The sequence below is a fragment of the Homo sapiens genome, chromosome 2 (assembly GCF_000001405.40).
Source record: "Homo sapiens chromosome 2, GRCh38.p14 Primary Assembly".
NCBI lineage: Eukaryota > Metazoa > Chordata > Mammalia > Primates > Hominidae > Homo > Homo sapiens.
This window is the reverse complement of record NC_000002.12, coordinates 195,828,340-195,844,668: the sequence shown is the minus strand read 5'-3', so window position 1 is coordinate 195,844,668 and position 16,329 is coordinate 195,828,340. Positions and strand designations below refer to the sequence as shown.

The window sequence follows — 16,329 nt, the reverse complement described above, 5'->3', positions numbered from 1 at the left end:
GTGCATTAGTGTGTCATTGGTGGTGATTGGGCAGGGTGTTCCAAATTCCGTCTTAGTCCCTAGTGTGGGACTGTTTTAAATTAGATGGATGTATTTCTGGGTCCTACACTGATAGGGAATAGTAGCCATTATACCTGTAGTTTCCTGGTTAGTAGAGAAAACCTGTGTAGTCTGGGCTGGGAGAATATTAAAGGCTTGTCTGCCTTACCCTCTCCTCCAGGTCTCACCTCCCAGAAACCAAGGACTTCAGCCTGTCACAGTGTGAGGACAATCTTGTATTATTTCCAAGTTCACATTACCGTGAGCCTTTTATCACTCGGCCAGTTTTCTCAGAGTTTTAGCATGTTAACGATAGCACAGATATTTCCTACTATCAGTAGGAAATGCTCTGTGTTACATGACTATTTTGACTAATTGTTAGGTTACTATGAAAAAGTAATTGATATGATGGTACTTTTTAAAGTAAAAATGTTTGAGGCATGGAAACTTTTAAAATAGAAGTAAACACTAAATGTGGAGACTAGTTATTCCTAAATTTTATGTATATGGTTTTTGGGTTTTTTGTTTTTTTTTGAGACGGAGTCTCACTCCGTTGCCCAGGCTGGAGTGCAGTGGTGCGATCTTGGCTCACTGCAAGCTCCGCCTCCCAGGTTCATGACATTTTCCTGCCTCAGCCTCCCGAGTAGCTGGGACTACAGGCACCTGCCACCACGCCCGGCTAATTTTTTGTATTTTTAGTAGAGATGGGGTTTCACCGTGTTAGGCAGGATGGTCTCGATCTCCTGACCTTGTGATGTGCCCGCCTCAGCCTCCCAAAATGCTGGGATTACAGGCCTAAACCACTGCGCCTGGCCTCTACATAGTATTTATGAAAATCATTTTACAAATTAAAACTCTGGTGAACACATTTATTTTCCAATAAATTATCCTGACATATGGATTTCTTTAGCATTCATTTACTAAATTGTTCTACAAGAATTTGAGGTATGTGCAGTATGATTATAGTATAAAACAAGATAAAATCTGATGAGACCACCTAGGGTAAGTTAAAGGAGTAGTTACTGTTAGAATTTGAGACAAGCTAATTCCTATAGCTGGGCCCTGAATTAAGTTTGACGCTTTCTGATAACTAAGACAAAAATAAAAAGTTGTATCACATAGTTTTTGTTTTTTAACCAAGTAAACTGTAGTTAAAGAGACCAACTTTTTCAGGAGCTAAAGTTAAATTTAATTATTTTATTTATTTAGAGAAAAAATCACTAAGCTTTACTTTGGGGAACTAAAATACTGGGTACTCTGATCCAATAATCTAAATTAATCCAAGGAGAAAATAGATAATCTAAAATCAATGATAAATATGTGCATTAGCTGGCTGCTAAAATAAAGATTTTAGCAGATTTTTAAGCGCCTTTTACAAAGCACAGAAGGGCAGCTCGTTGTTGAATTACTTAACATGTGGCATGCAGGCAGTGTGTGTTGATGTTTAGTGTTAGAATATACCTTACAGATTGACACAGGTGGGAGATCTCTGAAATTTTGGAAGTCTAACTTTTACTTTCACTTTTGTCTAGCTGGACCAATTAACTACAGCATGAAAATAGTCAAATATTTGCTGCTTTTGTTATTGTTTTTATCTCAGAAAAGAGCTTTGGCTCTTCTCAAGCTCTTGTGAACGTAGCTGGTCATGTCCTACATATTAGTAGTTACTGAAGTGGTAGTCATTGTCTTGATTTGCAATTTATATATCATGGTTCTGCCTAGCAGGACATCTATAACCACTGTATCCACCATCAGAGGCCAAATTGCATCTTGTTTTCTAGCAAATAAACATACCCTTATTTTGGGGTCTAGTCATATTTCAAAAATAATAGAACTGTTGATGGATATATCTGCATATAAGATTCTAAACCATTCAGTGATTATTTTTCAAGACAGCACACTCACATTTTGGGAGGGATGGAGACAGAAAATTATGTTAATGAGTCATAACCCCTACATCTTTACTATTCATTTGTAGAAATGTTGAAATATTAGCAGAAAGTTGTGGTAGCAACTATACTAAGAAGAAAATATTAACAATTTTCATTCTTGGCTTCTTTTCCCAATATATTTTGGTAATCTTATACTGAAAGCTTTCAGTAAATATGTTTAAAGTGATCACTTTGAAGTATCAGCTAAGTATCTTCTTTACCTGTGCAGTGCCCTCTTCCATTCCCCAGAAACTCTTGCTTGACAACGATAGTATCTAATATTGAGCACTCACAGAGGACCTAATCCTGTGCTAAGTGCTTTTCACATATTATCTTAGCTGAGTGAGGAGACGATTATTTAGGAAAACTGGAAGAATCTATAAAATTTGGGCAAGTTAGAATATAATTAACTTTTGGGGCTGTTGACTCCTAAAGGTCCCTGGCTAATTAGAATTTCAAAGATTAGTGATAACATTAAATGTAATTAGATTGTATCTGAACATTTCACGGGTAAAGGATTAGGATTATTTAACAGCTTGGTAAGTAGATCAGACCTGTATCTGATATAACTCTGCTTTTTAAAAAAGTAAATTTTCATTTCCATAGAAGAGAGATATATTAGGTTTAATTCAGTAGCAATAATAACTGAGAAGAATAACACCTTTCCTTGTCTGTTTTTATGAATTTATGTGTGTGTAAAAACGAAAATATCAAAACTCTGAAATGTATTGCTGCTTCATATTCAAAATCTGTGGTCTGTGCAACTGCTGTGAACATGTATTTTCACTGTTAGAAGTCCATGTTTTCAAAAAGCCCACAAAAGCACCAAATAACAATCCTCTCTAGACAGTAACAAAAGAATACACACTGTCAAAACTTGGAACATTGAGTGCTATAAAAATTCAATTTCCATTTGGGAACCACTGATTTTAAAGCCTTTGTAGATTCAAGAATGTTTGATGGAGGAAGTAAAAGAGAGAAAGATTATGTGGAGAAAAACATTTTCTTGTTAAAAAAAAAATACAAAATAATAATGGAGAAGAAGTAAGCAAGTAAATGTAGTGCTTGTTCGTTTTGAATTCAGAATTTGTATTCATCCAAAGACTGAAGTTATTTAAATCAGTTTGTTGCATACAGCTTTCCACAATTGTTGGTATATTTGTTAAACTAGTATTTTCTTTTTTATCTACATTGAAGATTATCTCCTTTAAAATTTTATTCATCTAATATGTTATTCTATGGAAGCCCAAATCTTTAAAATTGAATATAAGCTGAAGTCACAAACATCCTGTCTTTGGATAAAAAAGATGTTACATTAAGACTGTTGTCTGGGAAAAATAAGTTTGATATAGTTATTAACTGGATATGGAACAACAAAAGATTTGTTTGTGTATAATTGCACACATCCATATATGGGGAAAGAGGGTTGGGGGTGAGGGGAGAGAGGAGAGAGAGAGACAGAGAGAGAGAAAGAGAAAGAGAGAGAAAATATACAATTGTTCCAGCATAATTTGTTGAAAATATTATCCTTTTTAAAATCGGATTGCCTTTACGTCTTTGTTGAAAATCATTGGTTCACATGCATGTGGGTTTGTTGCTGAGTTCTCTGTTCCATTTACCTATTTGTCTTGATGTAAATACCATATTTCTTTGATTATTGAAGCATATTAAGTCTCAAAGTCAGGTATTATATCTTTCACATTTGTTCTTCTTTTTCAAAATTGTTTTGTCTACTTGTAACTCTACATATAAATTTTAGAATCAATTTTTAAATGACTACACAAAATCTTCCTGGGATTTGTATTGGTACTAATTGAATCTAAGATCAATTTGAGAAGAATTGACAACTTAGTATATATTTCTACTATATGAACACAGTGTATTTCTTTGTGTACTTAGGCCTCCTTTGATTTCTTTCATCAGTGTTTTGTGGTTAGATTTATACCCAGTATTTCTTTTATTTCTGTGTGGTACTTAAAAGATTGTGTTCAACTATTCATTAGGAAAGCAGTTTATTTTTGAATATTGACTTTTTACCCTGTAGCTTTAATAAACTCATTTATTAGTTCTGGGATCTTTTATGTAGATATATTGGAATATTTTATATGTAGACAATCATGCTGTTTGCAATTAGTGACAGTTTAACTTACTACTTTCTAATCTGTATGCCTTTTATTTCTTTTTCTTAGCTTATTGCACTGACAAGGGCTTCTAGTATAATGATGAACAGGGTTGATGAAATCAGACACTGTTGCCTTTTACCTGATCTTAGAGAGAATCAGTTTTTTACTATCACATGTGGTATTAGCTGTAGGTTTTTTTACCTCCTTTGTATCATGTGAAAGAGACTCCCTTCTATTCCTAGTTTGCTGATGGTTTTTAACATTAATGGATGTTAAATTTTGTGAAATGTTTTTTCTGCGTCTATTGAGTTGATCCTACAGTTTTTTTATGTTTAGTCTGTTAAAATGGTAATTGTACCGATTGATTTTTGAATGTTGAACTAGCCTTGCATTTCCAGATTAAACTCTACTTGGTCATAATGTATTCTCTTATTTATATATTTTTGGATTCGATTTGCTAATGTGCTTTGAAGAGTTTTGCATTTATGTTCATGAGGAATATTGATCTGTGTTTTATTTTGTTGTAATGTCTGTATGGTTTTGCTTTCAGAGTAATGCTGGCCTCCTAAAAGGAATTGGGAAGTCTTCTCTCCTATTTTGTGGAAGAGATCATGTAGAATTAGAATTATTTCTTTCTTAAATGTTTCATAGAAATGACCAAAGAAATTATCTGTGCCTGGAATTTTTTTGTCATTGAAAGATTTTATCCATGAATTCAATTTTTGAAATAGTAACAGGTCTATCCAGGTGATCTATTTCTTCCTAAGTGAGTTTTGGCAGTTTCTGTCTTTTCAGAAATTGCTCAGTTTCATCTAAGCTGTTAAATGTATGACCAGAGAGTTGTTTATAGTATTTCCTTAATATTTATTTAATGTCTGTAGGGTCTGTAATGATAATCTCACCTATCACTTCTGATTTGATAATTTGTGTATTCTTTCTATTTTCTTGGTCAATCTGGCTAGAGTTTGATAAATTTTGTTGATCCTATATAGGAACAAGCCTTTGGTTGCATTGTTTTTCTCCATTCTTTTTTTGTTTTCAATAATACTGATTTCTTCCCTAATATTTATTATTTCTTTGCTTCTGTTTGCTTTAGGCATAAATTACTTTTATGTCTCTGGTTTCCTAAGGTGGAAGGTTATTGATTCTAGATTTCTCCTTTCTAATCCATGGACTTAATGCTATATGTTTCACATTAAGTATTGCTTTAGCTACATAGCACAAATTTTGATGTTTTATTTTAATTTTAATTTCCTTTAAAGAATTTTCTAATTTTTTTTGAAATTTCCTCTTTGATTCATGGATTTTTCAGAAATATATTTTTTTAATTTCCAAATACTTGGAGACTTTTAGGGTATTTTTTTGTTACTGTTTTTAATTTCAAATTTATTTGTTATTTTCAGACTATCATTGTATGATTCCAGTTGTTTAAAATTTTTTAAGGTTTGTTTTATAGCATAAAACTTGTCTATATTTTTAATGTTCCATGTGCACTTGGAAAAAATATCCTGCTATTATTGAGTGAATGGCATTTTGAAAGTTGGTTAGGTTGAATTGCTTGATACTGTTGTTCATGGCTTCAATATCCTTGCTAGTTTTCTGTCTACTTGTTCTCTCTTCAGTCTTATCAGTTTTAGCTTTATTTATTTTGGAGCTCTGTTGTTAGAGGCATACACATTAAAGACTATTATGTCTTCTTGATGAATTGACCCTTTTGTTGTTGCATATGTCCCCCTTTATCCTTGATGGTTTTCTTGTTCTGAAGTCTATTTTTTCTAATATACTATCGCCAGTACAGCTTTATTTTGTTTAGTGTTTTCATGGTATATCTTTTACCATCATTTTACTTTTAATATAACTATATTATTATATTTAAAGTGGGTATCTTGTAGACAGCTGACAGTTGGATCGTATAGTTTTATCCAATCTGATAGTGTCTCTCCTTGTTGATCAAATTGGACTATATATATTCATCTATCTTCAGCTTCACTGACTCTTCTGTTATCTCTGTTCTGCTACTGAGTCCATACTATGGGACTTTTAATTTCAGATATTATGTTTTTCAGTTCTAAAATTTCCATTTGGTGCTCATTATCCTTTCTGTTTTTTTTTCTCCTGAGAATGTCTCTATTTATTTCAAAAATGTTCACCTTTGTCTCATGGAGGATGGTTATAATATCTGCTTTAAAGTTTTTTCTGGTAATTTCAAATCTGTCTATTTCTTTGAGAATTAATCACATCCTTATTCTTTGTGTGTTGAGTAATTTTGGATTGCATCCTGGAAATTTTGAATATGAGACTCTAGGTCCTGTCAAAATCCTCTGGATAAGATTGATTTTTTGGTTTAGCAGTCAAATAACTCAGTTAAGTTTAGATCACAATTCTTAGTTCTCCTTCTGTGGGTGATGTTGCAATGTCAGTTCAGATTTGTAAGCCTTCACTATACTGTTTGAATCTACTCCTCGGCATTCATTACTCAGGAGTTAAATGGACTAGGATTTATGATATTGTTTAAAGCCTCTGATATGCTTCTTTAGAAGTGTTCCATGCATGCACAGCTTCAGGTCTTTTCAGAATTTATCCTACCCCTGCCCCACTTTCCATATCCCAGGGGCACCTTTTTTATACTTTTTTAATGGCCAAAATGATGAAGTTCTTTCAGAGTTTTCTCTTCCCTTGCTATTGCACAATTTCATGCCAACACTGGGGGCAAAGTGGTAAGAAAAAAGAAAAATACTTGGATTTCCCTTACATTCTGTGTACAACAGGGGCCTCTTTTTTTACTTCTGTCCAGAGAGACAGGTTTTTGCTCAGTGTTTTGGGTAACTGCACCACTGCTTTTTCTGTCATGATAATACAGTTCTGTGAGTGGGGTTAACCTTGGGGTAGAGATAAAGGAGAATAAAGTAAAAAAAAAGCAAAACATGAAATAAAACATGGATTTATGCCCATGCTCTCTGGCTCACATATGGTCATTTTTTCAGTTACTTATTTTGAGTTATTGCTACCTGTGCCTGCTGCATGGTTCCCCCACTAAGCCAGAAAATAGAAAGAAAGAAGAAACTTAGAAAACTCACTACCCCATTACTGATAATTCCTCAAGTTAGGATTTTTCTCCCATTCACTTGTTATTATTTACTTTTTAGAATCTGTAAGTAGTTGTTTTTTGTATTTTGTTCAACATTTTTAGATGTAATCAGTGAAAGAGATAGGCTGTAAAAAGCCCAGCCCATCTTGGTTAGAATCAGAAGTCCTTTCCTCTGGTTTTGAAATGCTGCTTATTGGACAAGTATTTTCTGTGCAGGGATAATCTCTTAGAGAATTTCAAGCTTTAGAATTATTTAATTTGTATGGTGTTTGCCCCATGACTTTACTGTTTCAATATCAGTAGATTGTCACATGCAACCTTTATTTGATCTAGGAAAAAAAGAATAAAGAATGAGCATGGACCCTTCCTTTAAAGGAATAAACAATTTAGTTGGATGATGCGGCTAAGGAATTATAGAATTACCATAATAGAATATTACCATTACATGCAAATACCATAAATATAACATGGATGAATTGCTAAAGAAGTTCAGAGAGAAAAGAGATGGAGAGAGGCTTTGTGGACTATATAGCTTTTGAGCTGATGTTCAAACATGAGTAGGACTTAAATGGGAAAAGATGGGAGAGAAGTGCATTTTGGACAAATAAACAGGATGAACATAGGTATTGTGGCTAAAAAATGTGGAAGTGATACAAGAGTGAGTAATTCAATTTATTTAGGAAAGCATAAATGCTGTTTAACATTCACACATAATCCTCCAAACTTAAAAATATATTTCTAAAATGTGACATAATGAAAACTTTTTATATATTTATATTTTTATTTCTTTCTAATTTCCCTTCTCTCACTCTCTTTAGAGTGATTTTTCATTAGTTAATTGCATCTAAGATGTTACATTACTCTTTTGATGTCTTTTCTTACATAATTAATGTCATAGACTGAATTATGCTGCCCCACCAAATTTTTATGTTGAAGCCATGACTCCCATGTGACCGTATTTGGAGATAGAGCCTTTCTTTTTTTTTTTTTTAAGACAGGGTCTCACTCTGTCACCCAGGCTGGAGTACAGTGACACAATCCCAGCTCACTGCAAACTCAAGTGATCCTCGCACCTCAGTCTCCCAAGTAGCTGGGACTACAAGTGCCTGCCACCATGCCTGCTAATTGTTTTTTGTAGAGATGGGGTTTTGCTATGCTATCCATGCTGGTCTCGAACTCCTGGGCTTAAGTGATCTGTCCACCTCAGCCTCCCAAAGCACTGGGATTAGAAGCGTAAGCCACCATGCTGGCCCTGAACATAGGTCCTTTAAAGAGGTAACTAAGGTTAAATGAGGTCTTAAGGGGGAGCCCTAATCAAATAGTAATGGTGTCCTTGTAAGAAGAGGGAGCAGCACCAGGAACATCTTGCATGGAGCAGAGGCCATATAGGACACAGCAAGAAGGTACTATCTGCAAGTCAAGGAGAGAGGCTCTGCAAAAACCAAACCTGCTGAAACCTTAGTCTTGGACTTTCAGGGTCCAGAACTGTGAGAAAATAAATTCTGTTGTTTAAGCCACTCAGTCAGTGGTATACTGTTATGGCAGCCAGAGTGACACAAGGATAATGCTCACATTGGAGGATAAGAAAACTATTTTCTTTTTTATCTAAGCTACATTTTTGTTTGTTTTTTTGTTTGTTTTGTTTGAGACAGAGTCTTGCTCTGCCGCCAGGCTGGAGTGCTGTGGTGCAATCTCGGCTCACTGCAACCTCTGGCTCCCTGGTTCAAACAATTCTCCTGCCTCAGCCTCTTGAGTAGCTGGGATTACAGGCATGCACCACCACGCCCAGCTAATTTTTGTATTTTTAGTAGAGACGGAGTTTCACCATGTTGGCCAGGATGGTCTCGATCTCCTGACCCCATGATCCGCCTACCTCGGCCTCCGAAAGTGCTGGGATTACAGGCATGAGCTACCGCACCCGGCCTAAGCTACATGTTTTATACCAGGCTCTAACTAATAACTGATAAAAATATGGTTTTTTTTATTTTGGGGGACAAGTCATCCATTGACGTTCCAATTTCATGTTATAATGAGAGTGAATTTAATATGTTATCCTGTTATATCCCCCTACCTTTTTTTCTTTTCAATTTTTTTTTTTTTTTTTTTGCCTCAGTCACCTTTTATTTTCTCCTCCTGCTCTTCTAATGACCTAAATGAATTGGCTCTGCTCACTTTTGTTTTTTGTGGGTTTTTTTTTACTTAATTTCATTAAAATGTCGTACTTCTCATGCTCTGCTCACTTTTGAAGGGTGTGGCAGTATCTTTAGAAAATTGGCCAGGATTAGAGCTTGTGTTGATTGAAACTTCTAAGAGAAAGAGAAAGAATAGTGATTTTGTTGCCAATTACATTTCACACAAGGTGGAAAGCTATGTGGTTGAATATCATACAGTAATTGCAGATACTGATGAAGTCATCTGTTCACTACACCCTAGAAAATAAACTGGGTTCCTCCTGGGGTATTGCCTTTGTTCTTATCATAAAGCAAATATGTAATGAACTACATATATGACACTAAATACAGAAGTGTTTGAAACAAAGATTGGGTCAACAATTGTGTTAACACTTAAGTGTCCCTGGATATTATGAAGTTCAGATGATATAAAATTATGCTTTTTACCTTTTTGTTAGGCCGTTATTTCTTTAATGGTCTAGATTTTGAGATATAATATTCCAAACCTCTTTCCCTATTATACAAATGACAGCAGGTGGGAACTAAGGAAGCAAAGTGACTTACTCAAGGTCACATGATTCATTAATGGGAGGGCTTAGTGAAGAACTGGAGTTTCCTTATTTCCAACGCAGTCCTCTTGATGGTTGTCACTGTGACATAATTAGCAAGAGCAGCAAATATTTTCAAAAGTGTAATTTAACATTTAGAAAATGTAATTTTCCAAAAAGAGTATAATAACTTGTGCGAACTTTGCAGGATGGTTTCTGTAGTTGCCGTTCAGGTAGCCCACTCAATCTACACGTCTCTGTTTTAAGAACATAGTTTCTCATAAGTTAAAAAGTAAAATATTACAATAAAGGGCAAACTTTTAAAAAGTGACCTGTGATGTGAACATGATTAAGTAGTGTAGAAACAAATCATGGCTTGACCAGCATCGTCTTTCTCCTCCTTTTCAGGAATGCAAGAAGGTGGCCTCTGATGATAGATCCTCAAAGTCAGGCTAATAAATGGATCAAGAACATGGAAAAAGCCAATAGTCTTTATGTGATTAAACTTAGTGAACCTGACTATGTCAGGACTCTGGAAAATTGCATCCAGTTTGGTACTCCTGGTATGTAGTTGAATAACTAAGATACATTACAGAACTGCCTGGAGAGGGCACAATTAACCCAAAACTGTATAGATTGTTTCAAGCGATCCTCCCACCTCAGCCTACCAAGTAGCTGAGACTACAGGCACATGCCCCCACGCTTGGCTAATTTTTGTATTTTTTGTAGAGATGAGGTTTCGCCATGTTGCCTAGGCTGGTCTCAAACTCCTGGGCTCAAGCAAACTGCCTTCCTTGGCCTCCTAAGACAGGTTGGTGAAACCCTGTCTTTACTAAAAATACAGACATTAGCCAGGTGTGCTGGCGGGTGCCTGTAATCCCAGCTACTCAGGAGGCTGAGGCAGGAGAATCGCTTGAACCTGGAGGTGGAGGTTGCAGTGAGCCGAGAGAGTGCCACTACACTCCAGCCTGGGTGGCAGAGCGAGACTCCATCTCAAAAAAATAAAAAATAAAAAGAAGTGGCAGAGAGGAGAGTACAGATTTTATGTGCCTGGTTATTATCTGCCATCTAAAATAAAGAGATTATAAACATGACAAAGATTTTTCAATACAGCTCTTATGTAGATATCACATTTATCAAAACGAAAAACAGAAAACTTGTGATTTGAGTAAATTGGGGTTATTAGTCATGCTTTAAATTCATGTAGCCCATCAAATTTTGACTATTTACATGGCCAAATAAAGGTAAGCCCTTATGAAACTACAATCTATTTAGCTCCAGGACAGTGCAGCAAGTCTCACTTGTTATTAGACCTAATATAATATGGAAGAATCATAATAAATATTCCAGGTAGTCTTACAGACACCTTATTTGTGCACATTAAGAGGGAGTTAGTCTTCAAATATTAATTATAGTTTTAGGCTCTATTAGAATAAGTGTGAAATGAAGACAGTCTAAGTCTACCTATGAAATTTTGTGTTTATGTAATAGACACACAGACACATGCACACGTGTTATTTCATTCATTTAATTGGTGTTCTTAGCATATAGAATGTGATATAGGAGTTACATAGAAAAGGGGAACATGATCTCTACTATTAAATATTTTGCCTGTTTAACAGTAAGATCAGATATATGTGTGTGTGTGCATCACTGTAATAAAATTAGAAAGTGGTTATCACTAATTCTTATTGGGATCAGTGTAGTTAATGGGCAGGGGACTGTCCTTGGATTCAGAGTACTTGCCTCTGTCACTCAGTGTTTGCTTCAGTGACCTTCCTGAGACTCAGTTTCCCCATCTATATTTTAACCATATAGTTTGAGGAAGAAATAAATTACTGTATGTTGGATACTTACAGCGGTGTCTATTGATCAATTTATGTTTTTTGTTGAACATTTACTGTATGATTTATGTGTATCATATTTTAGTATGATATAATAAGAAAGGCACAGATGATGTACTATAGGAATTCAGAGGAACTGGGGAAGACTTCTTGAAGGAACTGGCACCTTAAATACTTTAAGTAGGCTGGACACAGTGGCTCATGCCTGTAATCTCAACACTTTAGGAGGCTGAGACGGGAGGATTACTTGAACCCAGGAGTTTGAGGCTAACTTGGGCAACATGGTGAGACCCATCTTTACAAAAAATACAAAAATTAGCTGGGCATGGTGCTATGTGCCTGTGGTCCCAGCTACTCAGGAGGCTGAGGTGGGAGAATTGCTTAAGCCCAAGATGTCAAGGCTGCAGTGAGCTATGATAACACCACTGCACTCCAACCTGGGCAACACAGTGAGACCCTGTCTCAAAGAAAAAAAAAAAAGAAAGAAAGAAAAAACCAAAAACAGAACCCAAAACATTAAGTAATTAAAATTACTTAGGTTAATTTAAATATTCAAATAATTTCCTTGACATAGTAAAAGACAATTAAATGATAATTGAGCATCTACCATATGCTTGACATTCTGGAGATTTCTGTGATGTCAGTCACAAATCTTGATGTTAGAATTCCATAATTTTAGACACAAAAGGGCCATAGAGATTATCAGTTTAGTGTTTTCCAAAGTATGGGTCATAACCATGGGAGAGATAACCAATTTAGTGGGTCATGACCAATATTTTGTTAATAAGATGCAATAGGAAGGAATAGAACATAGTAGGCTGCAAGGCATAGTATAAAGGTAAGCATCATTTCATGAAATTTTTGTTTAAATTTTATATGCATATATATGTACTTAGTCAATATTTAAAATGTATTTCCTACTTTGAGTTGTGGCCAGAAAAGTTTGAAATCCAGTGGTGATTCCAGCCACTTCATTTTATTAACAAGGTAAGTGAGGTATTAGAGAATGTTAATTAAAAGGCTTAACCAAGGTAGTTAACTACCCCTTAACTATACTGGTCCCAATAAGGGTTAGTGATGGACGTTCCCTTTCTATTTATGTGTATATCATATCACCATACTATATGCTAATTAAGCCAGTTAAGAGGAGTGCTGAAACTAGTCCCTAAGTCTTCTGTCTTTGTCTGGTGCTTACTGTGTTACACAAGCAAGATTTTCTTTCAGTTGATTTAACCTACTTTTTGGAATAAAATACTTTTTAAATGCTAATGATTATTTACAATGCTTTCTAACATTAGTCATCAGAGAAGAGTGAAGTTTTAATCTCTTAATGGAAGGAGAGATAGATGGCAGATTCTAAAGCTATTTCTATATTTAACCATCAAGTAAAAGAATTGGTTACTGTTATACATTTACGACATAAAGACTCTTCCATTTAAGGAGTTATGTTTAGATATTGGCCTCTTCAGAGTCAGTGGCTTTTGATCTATTGTCCCTCACAGGCAGCCTGGGTTGAGCAGGCAGAAGTTTTTGCCTGCGTCAGCTGCCTGCTTCAGCTACCTGCCTCTACTTCAGCCAGAGCAGGTCTCACTTTTCTTTTTTATATTGCAGTTTATGATAAGATCCTCTTTGAAAAGAAGTATTCTGCTGCTTAAAAAAAAGTTTGAAAGCCAATGTTCTAGAAAATAAAGGTACATCTGTATTAGCTATGCCAATGGATAAAGTGTGCATAAAATACTAATCATACAAATATTGCTGATAAATCAATTTGTAGAGAAGATATTTTAATGACTTTCCATTGAATCTATAAAAAAAAAACTTTGTATCAACAGCAGAATTTATCATATCTGAGCCTTCCTTACTTTTCTCATCTCCCAGCACTTTACTTTTCTTTCCCCCTTGTATGTAACAAACCAGGGATACAAAACTACTTCCAATTTAGTGTTTCTTTCATTTGCTCATTTATTTGTCCATTCATTCATTTAATTAACATTTATTTTGCAACTACCATGTACCAGGCAGTGTGGTAGGCACTAAAAACAACATGAATAAGACAGACTCAGTCTTTAGTTTCATGAAGCTTATAGGTTAAAGGGGCAGAAAGAGATTACAGACAAAATGAGGATTTAGAAGATGGGAGTGCAGGGTACTTGGGAGCAGCCAGCACTGAAACAACATGGCATTGTTTCAATCTCTTAGCTTGTTTTTGCTCTTCCATCCATCTGGTGGATTCCTTTAAATTCCATCCTTTAAGATACAGCTCAAATACCTCTTTTTCTGTGACATCTCGACCCCTTCAATGAAGTACCAACACTGAAACTTTCATGAATTTCCATGATTGCCCTTATTTTATGTGCATAACCGTTTGTTTCTCTTCTACAAGCTGCTTAAGGGCACCTGATAGGTGCTGAGTAACTGTTGAGTCTATTTTTGATAAAATATGCTACAGAGTTGAACATAAGTTGTAGAAGAAGATTTTTTTCTATTAATTTGAAGTCTCACATGGGATAATATAGATAATTCATAACTTAAAAACCACATTATTTAATGTCCTACATGCAAGAGAAATTTGAAAAGAACATTTAATTCTCATTATGTTTCTGTTGCTAAGGATAACTGTTTGTTTTGAGTGAGATGATGATCTGCCTTACTCAAAAGTATTAGTGGCTGTGTGCTTGGATTCCTAGTCTTGATTTCCCATAAGCTTTGCAAATACTGTGATGTCTGGTGCTTGAGAATGAGAAATGAGGTTTTAACATAAACCAGCAAATTGTTAATCTTGATGATAGAAACATGAAGAGAAGTCTGTCTCTTGAATTTGCTCCTATTACTTTAACATGGTATATATTTTGATCTAATTAAAAGTTAAAGGAGTCAAAATAAAATAACGAAATTAAAGAGAGCATCCTGGGTAATTCATGTACCTATACATTTTTTCCTTTTTTTAAAATTCAAAATGCTTTAAATTTTTAAAAAATTTAAAATTTTCCGGTGAGACGCATAATATAATAAATATTCAGTACTAAGGATATATTTCTTTGAAATCAAGACACTACAAATATCTTTCCTAACAGGATTAAGACTTGATTCTAGCAATAAGACAATAAATTTTTCAAAATTGGGGGAAAAGAATCAAGTCTGTAATATTTAAGTTTCATAATGTATATTTTAGCTTCAAAAATGATTTTTACATATATTAATATAGACACTCTTAATTACATTTCAAAACTAAGAAAAATGTTAGGGTGAGTAGGGGATGAAAATATATAGTTACTTTTAGCCAACATTAAATATCAGATTTTATGTAAAAAATTAATATTGATAAATGTTGAGGCAGTAAGAGAAACTGAAACGTTATAATCTTCCTTAAACAGAATTTTGGTTCAAAATGGTTGAGCAAATTAGATTTTAAAAATATGATCATGTAAAAGTGAAAATGAGAAATTGATATCTGTTATGACTGTTATTGTTTAACATTGTTAGGAAAGTTGTTTTCAGTGCCATAAAACAAGAAACAATGAAGGTGCTATAACATTTAAAGGAAGAAACAATTGATATAGTAGGGCCACATATACTGAACAAAAACAAAAAAAGAAAGGAAACAAAATTATCATATTTATAAACAATATACCTCATCTAGACAACTAAAGATAATTAACTGAAAGGTATCAGAATTTAAAAATTCAGTGGAAGAGATATATTCCAAAAAGAATATTAAATCAGTGACAACTGAGAACCACCTATTTTGGTAGTTATTATAGTCAACCAGTGAATAGAAAGCAAAGCAAAACAAAACAACAAAATAACAACCTAGAGTAATTTTAACAATAAAAAGTGAGAAAAAGACAAACTTTTCAGAAAAACCAGAGAAGGCTTAAGTACGACAGCTCTTTTTCTCTGACAGGAAAACTGAAAGTTGTAAAGATGTAAACTTTCAGAAATAAATGTTTAGAAAACAATACTTAACCTAGAAGAAAAGAGAGTAGTAAGCCACAAAACATTCAAAAGAGTAAGTTTGGAGTTAACTGGAATAAGCTCTGGAATGAACCCTAATATATGTAAGGCTTTGATGCACTATAAATTAAACCTTATAACCAACAGAAAAATGATACATCACACCAGCAAGTGGTATTAGGAAAATTGGCTTTGTGGAAAAATATTTTAGGTCAGAGTCTCACTTCACACCAAAATATGTTCCAGATGAGTTTAAAAATTAAATACGAAAGAAAAAAAGACAAATGCTAAAAGGAAACATAGTCCTTTGATGGGAAAGGATGTCCTAAGCAAATATGCAATAGAAAAAAAAAAAAAAAATATATATATATATATATGTTATTTTTGAGATGGAGTCTTGCTCTGTCGCCCAGGCTGGAGTACAGTGTCAAGATCTCGGCTCACTGCAAGCTCTGCCTCCTGGGTTCACGCTGTTTTCCTGCCTCAGCCTCCCGAGTAGCTGGGACTACAGGCGCCAGCCACCACACCTGGCTAATTTTTTTGTATTTTTAGTAGAGACAGGGTTTCACTGTGTTAGCCAGGATGGTCTCGATGTCCTGACCTCATGATCCGCCCGCCTCGGCCTCCCAAA

General features: G+C 34.7%; 1 protein-coding gene across 10 annotated transcripts in view; it reads left to right on the top strand.

The window, feature by feature from the left end:
• DNAH7 (dynein axonemal heavy chain 7) overlaps positions 1-16,329 on the top strand; it is a 331,135-nt gene that overhangs the window by 224,169 nt on the left and 90,637 nt on the right. For 7 of the 10 annotated variants that reach the window (XM_011511488.4, XM_017004504.3, XM_011511490.4 and 4 more), the window contains one exon: positions 10,309-10,463. The exons of 2 other annotated variants lie outside the window; for them this stretch is intronic. In XM_011511488.4, coding sequence (XP_011509790.1) covers positions 10,309-10,463 — 155 coding nt within the window. Of the gene's footprint in view, positions 1-220; positions 262-10,308; positions 10,464-16,329 lie in introns of those variants that run through there. One more of the 10 variants, XM_011511492.4, reaches the window with a different exon arrangement.